The sequence below is a fragment of the Homo sapiens genome, chromosome 9 (genome assembly GCF_000001405.40).
Source record: "Homo sapiens chromosome 9, GRCh38.p14 Primary Assembly".
Classification (NCBI taxonomy): Eukaryota; Metazoa; Chordata; class Mammalia; order Primates; family Hominidae; genus Homo; species Homo sapiens.
Window position 1 is genome coordinate 81862402 of NC_000009.12, and position 14692 is coordinate 81877093.

The window sequence follows — 14692 nt, forward strand, 5'->3', positions numbered from 1 at the left end:
ATGGTCTCGATCTCCTGACCTCGTGATCCGCCCGCCTCGGCCTCCCAAAGTGCTGGGATTACAGGCGTGAGCCACCGCGCCCGGCCCCCTCTTTCTCTTTTTATTTGTATTAAACCTCAGCCTTGTAACTGGTCTAGACTCCCCTAGCATCCCTTTGTAAGACTTAAGTGGGAGTGAGAGTCAATGATATCCATTAGCTAAAATAAGTTGGATGGCTGGGAGAAACTGCTGACTCTGTAGTGTCTTTTTTTTTTTTTTTTGAGATGGAGTCTCGCTCTGTCACCAAGGCTGGAGTGCAGTGGTGTAATCTCGGCCCACGGCAACCTCCACCTCCCGGGTTCAAGCGATTCTCCTGCCTCAGCTTCCCAAGTAGCTGTGATTACAGGTGCCCACTACCACAGCCGGCTAATTTTTGTATTTTTAGTACAGATGGGGTTTCACCATGTTGGCCAAGCTGACCTTGAACTCCTGACCTTGTGATTCACCACCCTTCTGCCTCCCAAAGTGCTGGGATTACAGGCGTGAGCCACCACGCCTGGCTTCTGTAGTGTCTTTATAGCACTATCAGGTGCCATTTAACCATGCTAGTTGGCCAACTCCTCTGACTTGCCAAGGTTTGTAGAAAAGTCAGTAATACTTGTCAAATGAATGAGTGAATGGGTATCAATTCCTAAATGCATACTAGTTTGGAAGTATTGTATTGTATCAGGCACTTTACATAATACAAAATGTAAGGCTTAGTTCTTGGCTTAAGTAGTGCATCTTGGCTGGGCACGGTGGCTCAAGTCTGTAATCCCAGCACTTTGGGAGGCCAACGCGGGAGGACTGGGTTCAAAACTTGGTAAAACTGAGGTCAAGGGTTCGAGACAGAGCCTGGCCAACATAGTGAAACACCATCTTTACTAGAAATACAAAAATTAGCCAGGCATGGTGGCATGCACCTGTAATCCCAGTTGCTTGGGAGGCTGAGGCAGGAGAATTGCTTGAACCCAGGAGGCGGAGGTTGCAGTGAGCCGACACGGTGCCACTGCACTCCAGTCAGCGACAGTGAGACTATGTCTCAAAAAAAAAAATGCATCTTCTCATATCCATCACTCACAAAAAGACTGTTTTAAAGTATCACAGAAAGCCAGACAAGGTTCACTATTTATTTTGGAAAACAAGAAGTCATCTCTTAAAATGAAATGTTAGTAAAATATTGGTTACGGCAGTAACAGACATGAGCTAATACATCGTGGAAGTCGAATGCTTCATTGCTATCAGTGGGTTTTCTACCTAATGTCTTTATAAACAGCAAAATGCATAAAACAAGACAAATAACATAAAGTGAGCACTGAGGGAATCAACCCCCATCTCAAGGAACACAACTTTGACATGATCCCAGAAGCCTTGAGTCTCCTGTCTGTTACAATAAGCTTTTACTTATTTTTCTTTTTAAAATTGTACTACTTTTTTTTTTTTTTTTTTTTTTTGAGACGGAGTCTCGCTCTGTCGCCCAGGTCGGACTGCGGACTGCAGTGGCGCAATCTCGGCTCACTGCAAGCTCCGCTTCCCGGGTTCACGCCATTCTCCTGCCTCAGCCTCCCGAGTAGCTGGGACTACAGGCGCCCGCCACCGCGCCCGGCTAATTTTTTGTATTTTTAGTAGAGACGGGGTTTCACCTTGTTAGCCAGGATGGTCTCGATCTCCTGACCTCATGATCCACCCGCCTCGGCCTCCCAAAGTGCTGGGATTACAGGCGTGAGCCACCGCGCCCGGCCTTTTTTTTTTTTTTTTTGAGACAGAGTCTTGCACTGTTGCCTGGGTTAGAGTGCAGTGGTGCAATCTCAGCTAACTGCAACCTCTGCCTCCCAGGTTCAAGCGATTCTCCTGCCTCAGCCTCCCTAGTAGCTGGGATTACAGGCATCTGCCATCACGCCCAGCTAATTTTTTGTATTATTAGTATATAAAATACTAATAATGTATATGTTGGCCAGGCTGGTCTCAAACTCCTGACCTTGTGATTCGCCTGCCTTGGCCTCCGAAAGTACTGGGATTACAGGTGTGAACCACTGCGCCCGGCCCAAAATTGTACTACCTTTATAAACTACCCTAAATAAAGTTTAATTTTACCCAGTTTTGAACCCAAAATAGATTTTTTTTTTGAGGTGGAGTTTTGCTCTTGTTGCCCAGGCTGGAGTGCAATGGCGCGATCTTGGCTCACCGCAACCTCAAGCAATTCTGCTGCCTCAGCCTCCCGAGTAGCTGGGATTACAAGCATGCTCCACGACACCTGACTAATTTTCTATTTTTAGTAGTGCCGGGATTTCTCCATGTTGCTCAGGCTGGTCTCGAACTCCTGACCTCAGGCGATCTGCCCGCCTCAGCCTCCCAAAATGCTGGGATTACAGGGGTGAGCCATCCTCCCAACCCCCAAAATAGATTTTTAAAAACAACAACTGTGTGTACGTTCAATATTGGACTTAAAAAGGAAACCATTTTTTTTTCTTTTAAGTAAGATATTTTGAAGTGTACTGATATCTATTGGAGATCAAGACATTTATGCGTTAGTCTACTTTTATGTTTGCTGACTGCCAGTCGACCTACTCCTTAATACTTCAAAGATATCCTTTCCCAAAGCTGCCTTTGGTCTTATACTAATGCTTTCCCTGATTCAATGAAACTTTGAAGGATATTGAGCTCACCATGATGAAATAGGTGTTGACATTCCTTGAACATCACTGTAATTATTCCTAATTTGTACTTTGCTTCAAAAAGTCTCTTCCCCTGCCCCCTAAAGTACTTTCAAAATGGTATCTACAGCTTTAATTATACCTGACAATAAACTGCTTTTACCACAAAATCTGTTTGATCATGTACCACACTAGATTATGTAATCAGATATCATCTCCAGATATTCTATTTTTTAGAAAATCTCAATTTATATTGTGCTTTTAAAGAGCTATAACACTAGCGACAGTGTTTTTAACTGTTGCTGTAAATTTTTTGTAATTATTGCAAATCAAACTTGTGACAAATGATTGAATGCTAGCTGAATTACCTACCAAACTGAGGTGAGATAGTCCTTTGAACTACTACTGTATGTTGTACAAGTCTATTGAGTAAAAAGTGCAATGGAAATTGGGTGATTTGATCTCCACAGAGAATCATATCAGATGGTATAGTGACTTTGGGTCCAGAATAATCCTGCTAATCACATCAGCTTCCCAATGACTCAGCTATATCAATTCCTTTGTGTGTGTGTGTGTGTGTGTGTGTGTGTATCCCTCCGGTTTCTTGCCTTTTTAAAACACTTTTTTTAAATGTTCATAGGTTGTTGGGAAACAGGTGGTATTTGTTTACATGAGTAAGTTCTTTAGTGGTGATTTGTGAGATTTTTGGTGCACCCATCACCTGCGCAGTATATACTGCACCCGATTTGTAGTCTTTTATCTCTCACCCTCTTTCCACCCTTTACCCCTGAGTCCCCAAAATCTGTTATGTCGTTCTTATGCCTTTACACCCTCATAGCTTAGCTCCCACTTATGAGTGAGAACATACTTTGTTTGGTTTTCCATTCCTGAGTTAGTTCACTTAGAATAGTAGTCTCCAATCCCATCCAGGTTACTGTGAATGCCATTAATACATTCCTTTCTATGGCTGAACTGTGTTCCATCGTGTATATATACCACAGTTTCTTTATCCACTCGATTGATGAGCATTTGGGTTGGTTCCACATTTTTGCAACTGCAAATTGTTCAGCTAATATCAATTCCTATGAAGAAGAGGTCTTCTTGTGGGTCCTTGTGAGACAGGCTTTGGGAAGGCAGAGAGGAGGAATGAAAACACCTAGTGAGGTTCATTGGTACAAAGGACAGGAGACAAAAATGAGGTCTCTTTTTTTCTTTTTCTCTTTCTTAGAGATGGAGTCTCGCTCTGTCGCCCAGGCTGGAGAGCAGTGGTGCGATCTCAGCTCACTGCAACCTCCGTCTCCCGGGTTCAAGCGATTCTCCTCCCTAAGCCTCCTGAGTAGCTGGAACTGCAGGCACCTGCCACCACACCCGGCTAATTTTTGTATTTTTAGTAGAAACAGGGTTTCACCATGTTGGTCAGGCTGGTCTTGGACTCCTGACCTCGTGATCCGCCCGCCTCGGTCTCCTAAAGTGTTGGTATTACAGGCGTGAGCCACCGCGCTCGGCCGAGGTCTGTATTCTTAAGAAGTTATCAGGACCCTGGCCGGGTGCAGTGGCTCACGCCTGTAATCCCAGCACTTTGGGAGGCCAAGGCGGGCAGATCATGAGGTCAGGAAATCGAGACCATCCTGGTTAACAAGGTAAAACCCCGTCTCTACTAAAAATACAAAAAATTAGCCAGGTGTGGTGGCGGGCGCCTGTAATCTCAGCTACTTGGGAGGCTGAGGCAGGAGAACGGCGTGAACCTGGGAGGCGGAGCTTGCAGTGAGCCGAGATTGCGCCACTGCACTCCAGCCTGGGGGACAGACCGAGACTCTGTCTCAAAAAAAAAAAAAAAAAAAAAAAAAAAAAGCTTATATTGGACTTTATCCTTCAGAAGTCATTTAGTGGTTGGTTGATTAATTAACTAATTATTAATTGGGGAAACCATGAGGAAAACTGTTTCTGATGGCTAGTCTAAGGGGATAAAGACTCTGGCAGGGAGACTAGGTATAATGATGCAGCAATAATCCAGCTTTTGGGATATAAGGTTGGACTAGACTGGCAATGGTGGCAATGAACTGGGGAGAAAGGGATAGATGCAGCACACATTTTAAAGGGAGAATTTGGCTTCTTTCTTTTTGCTTTTTCAGTCACTCAGGCTTGAGGCTGTTCAATATTCCGGATTTATTTCTCTTTCCCTTTATGCTTTTCTTCTTCCCTCAATAGCCTTTTTCTTTCCCATTTTTTTTCTCTCTCCTTTTCTTTGCTTGCATTTAAGACACTCTCTTACTACTTTCCTATATGGGATGATGACTAAATCAGTCAGGCAGATATCAAATGGGAGATGTGGGTAGAAATTCACTAACCATAAGATTTACTAACTAATTAGAGTATGTTGTGCTGGTTTTTTGTTTGTTAGTTTTTTTTTTTTTTTTTTTTTGAGACAGAGTCTCGCTATGTCACCCAGGCTGGGGTGCAGTGGTGCGATCTCAGCTCACTTCAACCTCTGCCTCCCGGGTTCACTCCATTCTCCGGCCTCAGCCTCTCCAGTAGCTGGGACTACAGGTGCCCGCCACCACGCCTGGCTAATTTTTGTGTGTGTGTGTATTTTTAGTAGAGACGGGGTTTCACCGTGTTAGCCAGGATAGTCTCGATCTCCTGACCTCGTGATCTGCCCACCTCGGCCTCCCAAAGTGCTGGGATTACAGGTGTGATGTTAGTTAGTTTTAAAAACTCTGTTGTCTTCAGTTAGAAAGAAGGAAAGAAAAGAGAGAAAAGGCATGAGGAGGCAAAAGTAGAACAGAAAATATAGAGACCTTCACTCATTCATTAGTTCAAGAAATGCCGTGTTTCCAGAGAAAAAGATAGAACCAAATGTACAAAGAAAATACAACAAAATAACAAATTTTATTGTAATTGTATGAGTTATTTTCCCTTCTAACACACTGGAATAGAGTAGAGATGCTAGGAATGGCAGACAGAAGATGAAGGTGTGATTGGTAGCCTCCTTCCTTCGCTCTATGCACATCTTGTTTTTGTTTCAAAAGGTAGAGTCTAAATCTCAACCCTTTGAAACTGGGCTGGCCTTGGTGTTGGTTCAACCAGTGCATTGCTGTGGAAGTGACTTTCTGGGACTTCTGAGGCTATGTTTCAAGAAGCCTGGGTCTTTGGAACGTTTACTCCTGGGATTCTTTCTTTTGGAACCCAGCCACCATACTGTGGGAAGTCCAAGTCACATGGAGAGACCACATGTAGGCACTCCAGCTGGCAGCCCCAAGTAAGACAAGAGCCCACATCTCTGCTAGCTGTGTGAATGAGCTGTTTTGATGTCCAGCCCAGTTGAGCTTTCAGATGACTGCAGCTCCAGCTGACATCTGACTGTACTCCCAGGGAGACCCCAAGCAAGAACTGCCTAGCCAATTCCCGTCAATCCACAGATTGTCAAGAATCCAAGAGTCAAGAATAAATTATCTTCAGCCGGGCATGGTCGCCCATGCCTGTAATCCCAGCACTTTGGGAGGCCGAAGTGGTCGGATCACGAGGTCAGGAGATCAAGACCATCCTGGCTAACATAATGAAACCCCATCTCTACTAAAAATACAAAAAAAATTAGCCAGGCATGGTGGTGGGCGCCTGTAGTCCCAGCTACTCAGGAGGCTGAGGCAGGAGAATCGCTTGAACCCGGGAGGCGGAGCTTGCAGTGATCCCATATCGTGCCACTGCACTCCAGCCTGGGCAACAGAGCAAGACTCTGTCTCAAAAAAAAAAAAAAAGAAACAAAGAAAAATAAGGAATAAATTACCTTCTTAAGCTGCCAGGCTTACTATGATTTGTTATACAGTAATAGATAACTAAAACATTTTGGCTTATTTTACCCTTATACAAAACATAAAGAATACATATGCTTAATCAAATGTTTGAAAGATTCATAATGCAACCCAAAATGCATGTATATTTTTTATTTTTTTTTTAATTTTAAAGATCACTTTATTACTCATTAGCCTTTGATACTAGAATCTGAATTGACCTATTCTTAAACAGAATTCCTTGGAAGAATTTAAGCAAAATTTTTTCCAACTTTAATTTTAGTTTTGGCGGCACATGTGCAGGTTTGTTACATGGGCAAATTGCATGTTATGGGGTTTGGTGTACAGATAATTTTGTCATTAAGGTAATCAACTTAGTACCCGATAGGTAGATAGGTAGTCTTTCTTTCTTCCTTCCTGCCTCCCTCCCTCCCTCCCTCCCTCCCTCCCTTCCTTCCTTCTTTTCTTTTTTTTGACGGAGTTTCACTCTTGTTGCCCAGGCTGGAGTGCAATGGTGCGATCTCGGCTCACAGCAACCTCCGCCTCCCAGGTTCAAGTGATTCTCCTGCCTCAGCCTCCCACCTGATAGATAGTTTTTCAATCCACACCCTCCTTCCACCCCCCACCCTCAAGTAGGCACCAGTGTCTATTGTTCCGTTCTTTGTGCCTATGTGCACTCAGTGTTTAGCTGCCACTTGTAAGTGACAACATGCAGTATTTGGTTTTCTTTTCCTGTGTTAACTTGCTTAGGATAATGGTCTCCAGCTCCATCCATGTTGCTGCAGAGGTCATGATTTTGTTTTTTGTTTTTATGGCTGCACAGTACTCCACGGTATATATGTACCACATTTTCTTTATCTAGTCCACCATTGGTGGGCATCTTGGTTGATTCCATGTCTTTGCTATTATAAATAGTTAAGCAAATATTTTAATCACTATAATTTTTTTTTTTTGAGACAGAGTCTTGCTCTGTCACCCAGGCTGGAGTACAGTGGCGTGATCTCGGCTCACTGCAACCTCTGCCTTCCAGATTCAAGCGATTCTCCTGCCTCAGCCTCCTGAGTAGCTGAGATTACAGGCACCCACCACCATGCCCGGCTAATTTTTGTATTTTTAGTAGAGATGGGGTTTCACCATGTTAGCCAGGCTGGACTTGAACTCCTGACCTCAGGCAATCCGCCCGCCTCGGCCTCCCAAAGTGCTGGGATTATAGACATGAGCCATGGAGCCCGGCCTAATCACTATAATATTTTCAGTACTAATCAGGATAAAGTGATGTAGATGTGACAAGAATAATTGATGTGTAATCAGAGGATGGGTTTAAATATTAATTTTGTCATTTATCACTGTGCGACCTGGAGCAAATTATTTAACATCTCTGATTCCTGGTTTCCAGTGCTATCGTGTATCTTAATGTGCTGCATAACGATGTTCTGGTCAACAGCAGATTGCATTTACAGCGGTGGTACCGTAAGATTGCAATGGAGCTCTACACAGGCGTACCATTTTTATATTCTATACTGTATTTTTACTGTGCTTTTTTATGTTTAGATACACAAATGCTTATCATTGTGTTATGATTACCTAAAGTATACACTGCAGTAACATGCTACACAGGCTTGTAGACTAGAAACAATATAGCCTAGATGTGTAGTACACTATACTGTCGACGCTTGTGTACATGCACTCTGTGTTGTTCACACAATGACGAAATCACCTAATGATGCATTTCTCGGAATATATCCCTGTTGTTAAGTGACACATGACTGTATTTGAAAGTATTTAGTAGGCCGGGCACAGTGGCTCACGCCTGTATTCCCAGCACTTCGGGAGGCTGAGGTGAGCGGATCATGAGGTCAGGAGATCGAGACCATCCTGGCTAACAAGGTGAAACCCTGTCTCTACTAAAAATACAAAAACTTAGCCGGGCATGGTGGCGGGTGCCTGTATTTCCAGCTACTTGGGAGGCTGAGGCAGGAGAATCGCTTGAACATCGGAGGTGGAGGTTGCAGTGAGCCGAGATGGCACCACTGCACTCCAGCCTGGGTGACAGAGTGAGACTCCATCTCAAAAAAAAAAAAAAAAAAAGTATTTAGTAATGCCTGACAAAACAGACATTCAATAAAGGTTTTTTTCTTTGCTATGAAATCCTGCACTCATAAGTACAACCATTTTGAAGCTTAACATGGTTTTGTATGACTTCCTAAAGCATAATATTTTATTATTTATCAAATATCTCTCTTGATAAGCTCTTAATAAGTATTTCATGAGCTTCCATAGTGTTGCTTTTAGTCATGGATCTACCTTAGTTTTCCTGTGGGGATGAATTGTTTAATAGATTTTTGAGGAGTCATTTTGTTGCTAGAATCTTACAAAGGCACTTTTGTGGCAACCTTCTTTGATTTTCAAGGACATGACCCTGTTTCACATCTTGAATGTGGTTCCCTACTCCAGTGCAAATGTTAATAAGTTAAGTGAATATCAAATAAGAATTTTAATTCAGTTCATCATATGTTTATGTATTTAAATTTAAGAGTCAAATTGATATAATTGGTAACATTACAGATTTGCTTTGATTTGAGATGCCAAGTGATGAAAAAATTTTTAATTTAGAAGTGAATTACCTTGCTTATTTGAATTTATCATTTTTGCATAATTAGGACAAACTAATTTAATTTGCAGTTATCCTTTTAAATGACTTAAATGATGTCTGCTGAGATACTCAAGGCCACATGATTTGTGGAATCATCTTGAATATTTCCCTGTTTTACAGGGTTGGAAAGTATTCAAATGCAATTCGTGAAGCTTGGAGATAGAGTCAGAAGCTTATGCCTTTCTCTATTAATATATATATTTTTCTGTTCTGTTTTGTTGCCCTTGCTTCATTGTAGGCTGTTTTATGTTTTTCCAGAGGGATAAACTTTGCATTTAGTGATGGAGTGCCCTTCTTTTTCAATTCTGTTCTTTTCTGTGTCATTTTCACTTCATGTTTAGCTCACATCTCAGTTCTGCGACAGGAAAGCTGGGTATTCATTTGATGAGTCATGGTGAGACTCTCCAAGACAATGCTCTTGATGGGGCCTGAGGATTCTTCAGCAAATGTGGCTTTTTGATGATGCATTTTAATGAGCTTTAAAAAATTTGGATACCCAACTCCTGGATAGAGTAGCTGGAATCTATAATCTTAGAATAGTGTTTTTCAAACTTCAGGTCCTGGATCATAAAATAATTCTGGGAATTGTGAAAAGCACTTAAGAAACAACAAAACTAACTGAAGTAGATAATATTAGATGTATTACATGTAACAAAGGAAAGGAAAGTTTCACAAAACTTTTGTATTAGTTTTGTGTGTTTGTGTATATTAGTTTATGATAAAAATTATTTTACTTATTTTTTTGTGAGTTGCTGTCCAAAGAGTTTGAAAGCCAGAGTCTTGGATTTAAAGCTGTCTGAGGCAATTTGATAATACAGCAGTTTAAAATGACAATATACTTGAAATATAAAAGTGTAGATTGCTTTTAGTCACATATTTTAAAAAGATTAGCACGTTGCCTTTGCCTGGGAAGCCTTTCCCTGGCACGACTGGGCATTTTCCAAAGGGCAGGGACACAGTCATCCCCATGTAACTGGGTCCTGTAGGAGCCCAAGTGCTATCTCCCTGGGAGGGTCTGATGAAACAGGTTATTCATGTAGTCTTGATACTGCTGCTGCCCTGCTGATGTTGTCTGTTGGCAATATGATGTCTTATCCTACCAGATGAGAAGGACCCAGTTTTCCCCAGGTCTCATTCTGCTGGGAAGACGGCACACACTTCTCCGTCATTAATGGGACCTGCACTTTGCTTGGAAGGCTGGCAAATTCTAATCCTGAACTCCTTTCTTTTCTTTTCTTTTTTTTTTTTTTTTTTGAGGCAGAGTCTTGCTCTGTCGCCCAGGCTGGGGTGCAATGGTGGCACCATCTTGGCTCACTGCAAGCTCCGCCTCCTGGGTTCACACGATTCTCCTGCCTCAGCCTCCCGAGTAGCTGGGACTGCAGGCACCGACCATCACACCCAGCCAATTTTTTGTATTTTTAGTAGAGACGGGGTTTCACTGTGTTAGCCAGGATGGTCTTGATCTCCTGACTTCGTGATCCACCTGCCTCAGCCTCCCAAAGTGTTGGGATTACAGGCGTCAGCCACCGAGCCCGTCCTGAACTCCTTTCTTTACTAGAGAACCTCCCCTTTCTTTCCCACTGGATCTTAGGAAGATAGGAGGCAGCATGGGAGGTTATTTCTCTTTTATTCATATCATGTGAGTCTGGGCTTTTGTGTAAAGGCCTACTCATTTGAGGAAAGTTCCATTCCTGGAATTAGAAAATTAATCCTTAATCAGAGTAATGCAGTGTCGCAATTTCAATCTGCTAATGACCTTTGGAGAGACACGGCACATCTCTCCAGTTGATGGATTTCCCTTTTAGAGGATAAATGACATCCTCCCCATGCTTCTCTCAGCTGGACCAACACACTTCAGAAACAAAGAATCCTTCGGGCAGGAAGTGACCCCTTACATTTCTGACACTGGCCATTTAGGTTTCCCCAGCTTCTCCCAATTTTGCAATTTACTTTCTCTCCCATTAAAGTGGCCTTATTGTGTCACTTAACTTTTCCCACTGCTTATTGTTATTTATTTTTTTCATAGAGCAGCCCTGACTTATATTTTATTCTTCTTTTATAATGCTTTTATTTTCACCTTATTACTGCTGAAAATCAACTAAACTTCATTATTACTCCTCCCCGCCCCTGCTCCCTAATCTCTATCAACCTTTATCTGTTATCCAGGTTTATTTTTTTGTTTTTATTTTTATTTTTTTTCAGAGTCTTGCTCTTGTTGCCCAGGCTGGAGTGCAATGGTGTGATCTTGGCTCACTGCAACCTCCGCCTCCTGGGTTCAAGCGATTCTCCTGCCTCAACCTCCTGAGTAGGTGGGATTACAGGCACCTGGCACCATGCCCAGCTAATTTTTGTATTTTTAGTAGAGCTAGGGTTTCACCATATTGGCCAGGCTGATGTCGAACTGCTGACCTCAGGTGATCTGCCCACTTTGGCCTCCCAAAGTTCTAGGATTACAGGTGTGAGCCACCATGCCCGGCCTATCCAGGTTTTTAAAATATGCACTCTAGACAGTAGTCAAAAAAGATTGACTGAATCTTTACATAAGATATATTTTTTTTTCTGCATGGGACATTTTCAAGAATAGCTATAATCCCTTTTCTTAAGAACTTTAGATGGATTAAGGAAATAAAATAAGTAAATTTGTTAACAGCATTAGAATTTCATTCTGAAATCTTTTCTACAGGTCGAAATGTGGCAGAAAGCAGATGTCTATTTAAGGGGAAAGACCTTGTTACAAGTTGTCTTGCAGACTCTTAGATTGTCCTTAAAAGCAGTGTTATGACTGAGGATGCGAGGCACAGTTTTGGTTACCACCGTGTTTAATTTCAATAGGGAAAGTAAAATCATGTCTCAAAGCACCGGAATTGACTTTCCCTGAGCCTCTCCTTGGTTATACATTCTTATAATTACAGGATACAGAAGACAGAAACTTGGCATTCATTTTATCTGTCGTACTCTACATACTAGGAAATTGAGGCTCAGGGACAGGAAGTCATTAAGATAATTCATTATTTTGTTACTTGACTAGAGTGTTTTCAGAAAGGATGCAGAAAAGTAGAAATATTTGAAAGGCATTTAGGAATCGTGACAGTCAATACTGACTGGGCGTGGTGGTGTGCGCCTGTAGTCCCAGCTACTTGGGAGGCTGAGGTGGGAGGATCACCTGAGCCTGGGAAATTGAGGCTGCAGCGAGCCAATTGAGGCCAATTGCGCCACTACACTCCAGCCTGGGTGATGGGACTGAGACCATGTCTCAAAACAACAACAACAAAAAGTCAATGCTGATGGACTGGTTTGGTGGTGGGATTGGGTGCTGAGGGAGGGGGAAGATTCAAGGATGCTGCTTGGAACTGTAGCTTTAGTATCCGTACAAATGGGAAGAGTTAATTTTGAAGGAGGACACAGGAGGAAAGGTATATCTGCAGAGAAAGATTGTGAGTTTAGTTTGGGAGTGTTGCATCTTGGGTGGCTTTATGAATCCAAGACAACATATTACAATGGAACATAAACAGAAGGAAAACAACGAGAGTACTGAGTCATAAAAGTTAGTGAAGAGAGTTTTTCCAAGAGGGAGTTTTTCTCATCCATAGCCTCTGTGAGGCCAATTAAGACACAGATGGAAACATGTTACGTTTAGCTATAAGGAAGTTGTTGTTGATCTTGGCAAGTGGTGTTTCAATGGAGCATGGGGTTAGAAGCCAAAGTAGCGAGCTGAGAAATGAGTGGGAGGAGAGGAAGTAGAAAAAGGGAATGTAAACAACTATCAAGAAGTTTGGGACGGTTAAGGAAAGGGGGAAAGTAGGGTTATACCTACCAGAGAAGATGTAGAAAAATGGTTTTATTTGATACAAGAGCAAGTTGGGCATGTTTAAGTGCTGATGGGAAAGGGCCAATTTTTCTATGGAAGTAATTTTTCTCTTTTCTGGTTCCTGCCTTCTGTCTAAATGTCTGTGTAGTTCCTGGAAATTGTGGAGCAGATCTTTTAGGAGCATCAGAATTATCTCTTATGGATCCATTATCAACTAACTTTTGACTACCAGCTCTTGTTATCAATCCATATGCCTACATTCCCCATGGACTCTGTCCTGAATGCTCACATTCATGTTAGAAAAAAAGCATCTCTCAAATTTGTTAGCAGGAGTAAAGCAAGCAAAAGCAATTTATCCACTTTTCAAATTGGCCTGGATGTGAGTTCAAACTGGGAGATTCTCATTTAAGATCAGTTTTAGAAGAAGATTTGAATAACATTATTTACCATTAATATTAATCATGCATCTAACAACTGGCTCTATATTTACCTAGTGAGGTAAATATATGTGTGTGTGTGTGTGTGTGTGTGTGTGTGTGTATTTTTTTTTTTGAGACGGAGTCTTGCTCTGTGGCCCAGGCTGGAGTGCAGTTGCACCATCTCGTCTCACTGCAAGCTCTGCCTCTAGGGTTCACGCCATTCTCCTGCTTCGGCCTCCTGAGTAGCTGGGACTACAGGTGCCCCCCACCACGCCTGGCTAATTTTTTTGTATTTTTAGTAGAGACGGGGTTTCACTGTGTTAGCCAGGATGGTCTCGATCTCCTGTCCTCATGATCTGCCCGCCTTGGCCTCCCAAAGTGCTGGGATTACAGGTGTGAGCACAGTGCCTGGCCTATACATACATACATATATATATATATGAGTGTGTGTGTGTGTGTATATATATATGTGTGTGTGTGTATATATATATATATATATATATTTTTTTTTTTTTTTGAGACAATCTCACTCTGTCACCCAGGTTGGAGTGCAGTGGTGCAATCTTGGCTCACTGCAACCTCCGTCTCCTAAATTCAAGCAATGCTCGTGACTCAGACTCCCAAGTAGCTGAGATTACAGGTGCGTGCCACCACAGCCGGCTAATTTTTGTATTTTTAGTATAGATGGGATTTCGCCAGGTTGGCTAGGCTGGTCTCAAACTCCTGATCTCATGTGATCCACCTGCCTCGGCCTCCCAAAGTGCTAGGGTTACAGGCATGAGCCACTGCGTCCTGCCATGTAAATATATTTATTTATTCATTACCTACTATATAGCAGATACCTAGCATGAAATACCTAAGGATGATCTGAAAATCTTGATTTTTAAGTTATTTTATATTTTGAATGTAAATTTCTGCAGTTTATGGTGATTTTCTACATTTTTGGTACAATATTCTCCGCTATGTCAAAAACAGTGTTCTTTAAGTTATAGCTGAAACTTTTTTTTTTGGACACCTGGCATCCAAATTTGCTCTCTATTTTTAAAATAGGCCCTGCTAGGCCGGGCACAGTGGCTCACGCCTGTAATCCCAGCACTTTGAGAGGACGAGGCGGGGGAATCACCTGCGGTAGGGAGTTCGAGATCAGCCTGAACAACATGGAGAAACCCCATGTCTACTAAAAATACAAAAAATTAGCCGGGCGTGGTGGTGCATGCTTGTAATCCCAGCTACTCGGGAGGCTGAGGCAGGAGAATTGCTTGAACCTGGGAGGCGGAGGTTGTGGTGAGCCGAGATTGTGTCACCGCACTCCAGCCTGAGCAATAAGAGCAAAGCTCCGTCTCAAAAAACAA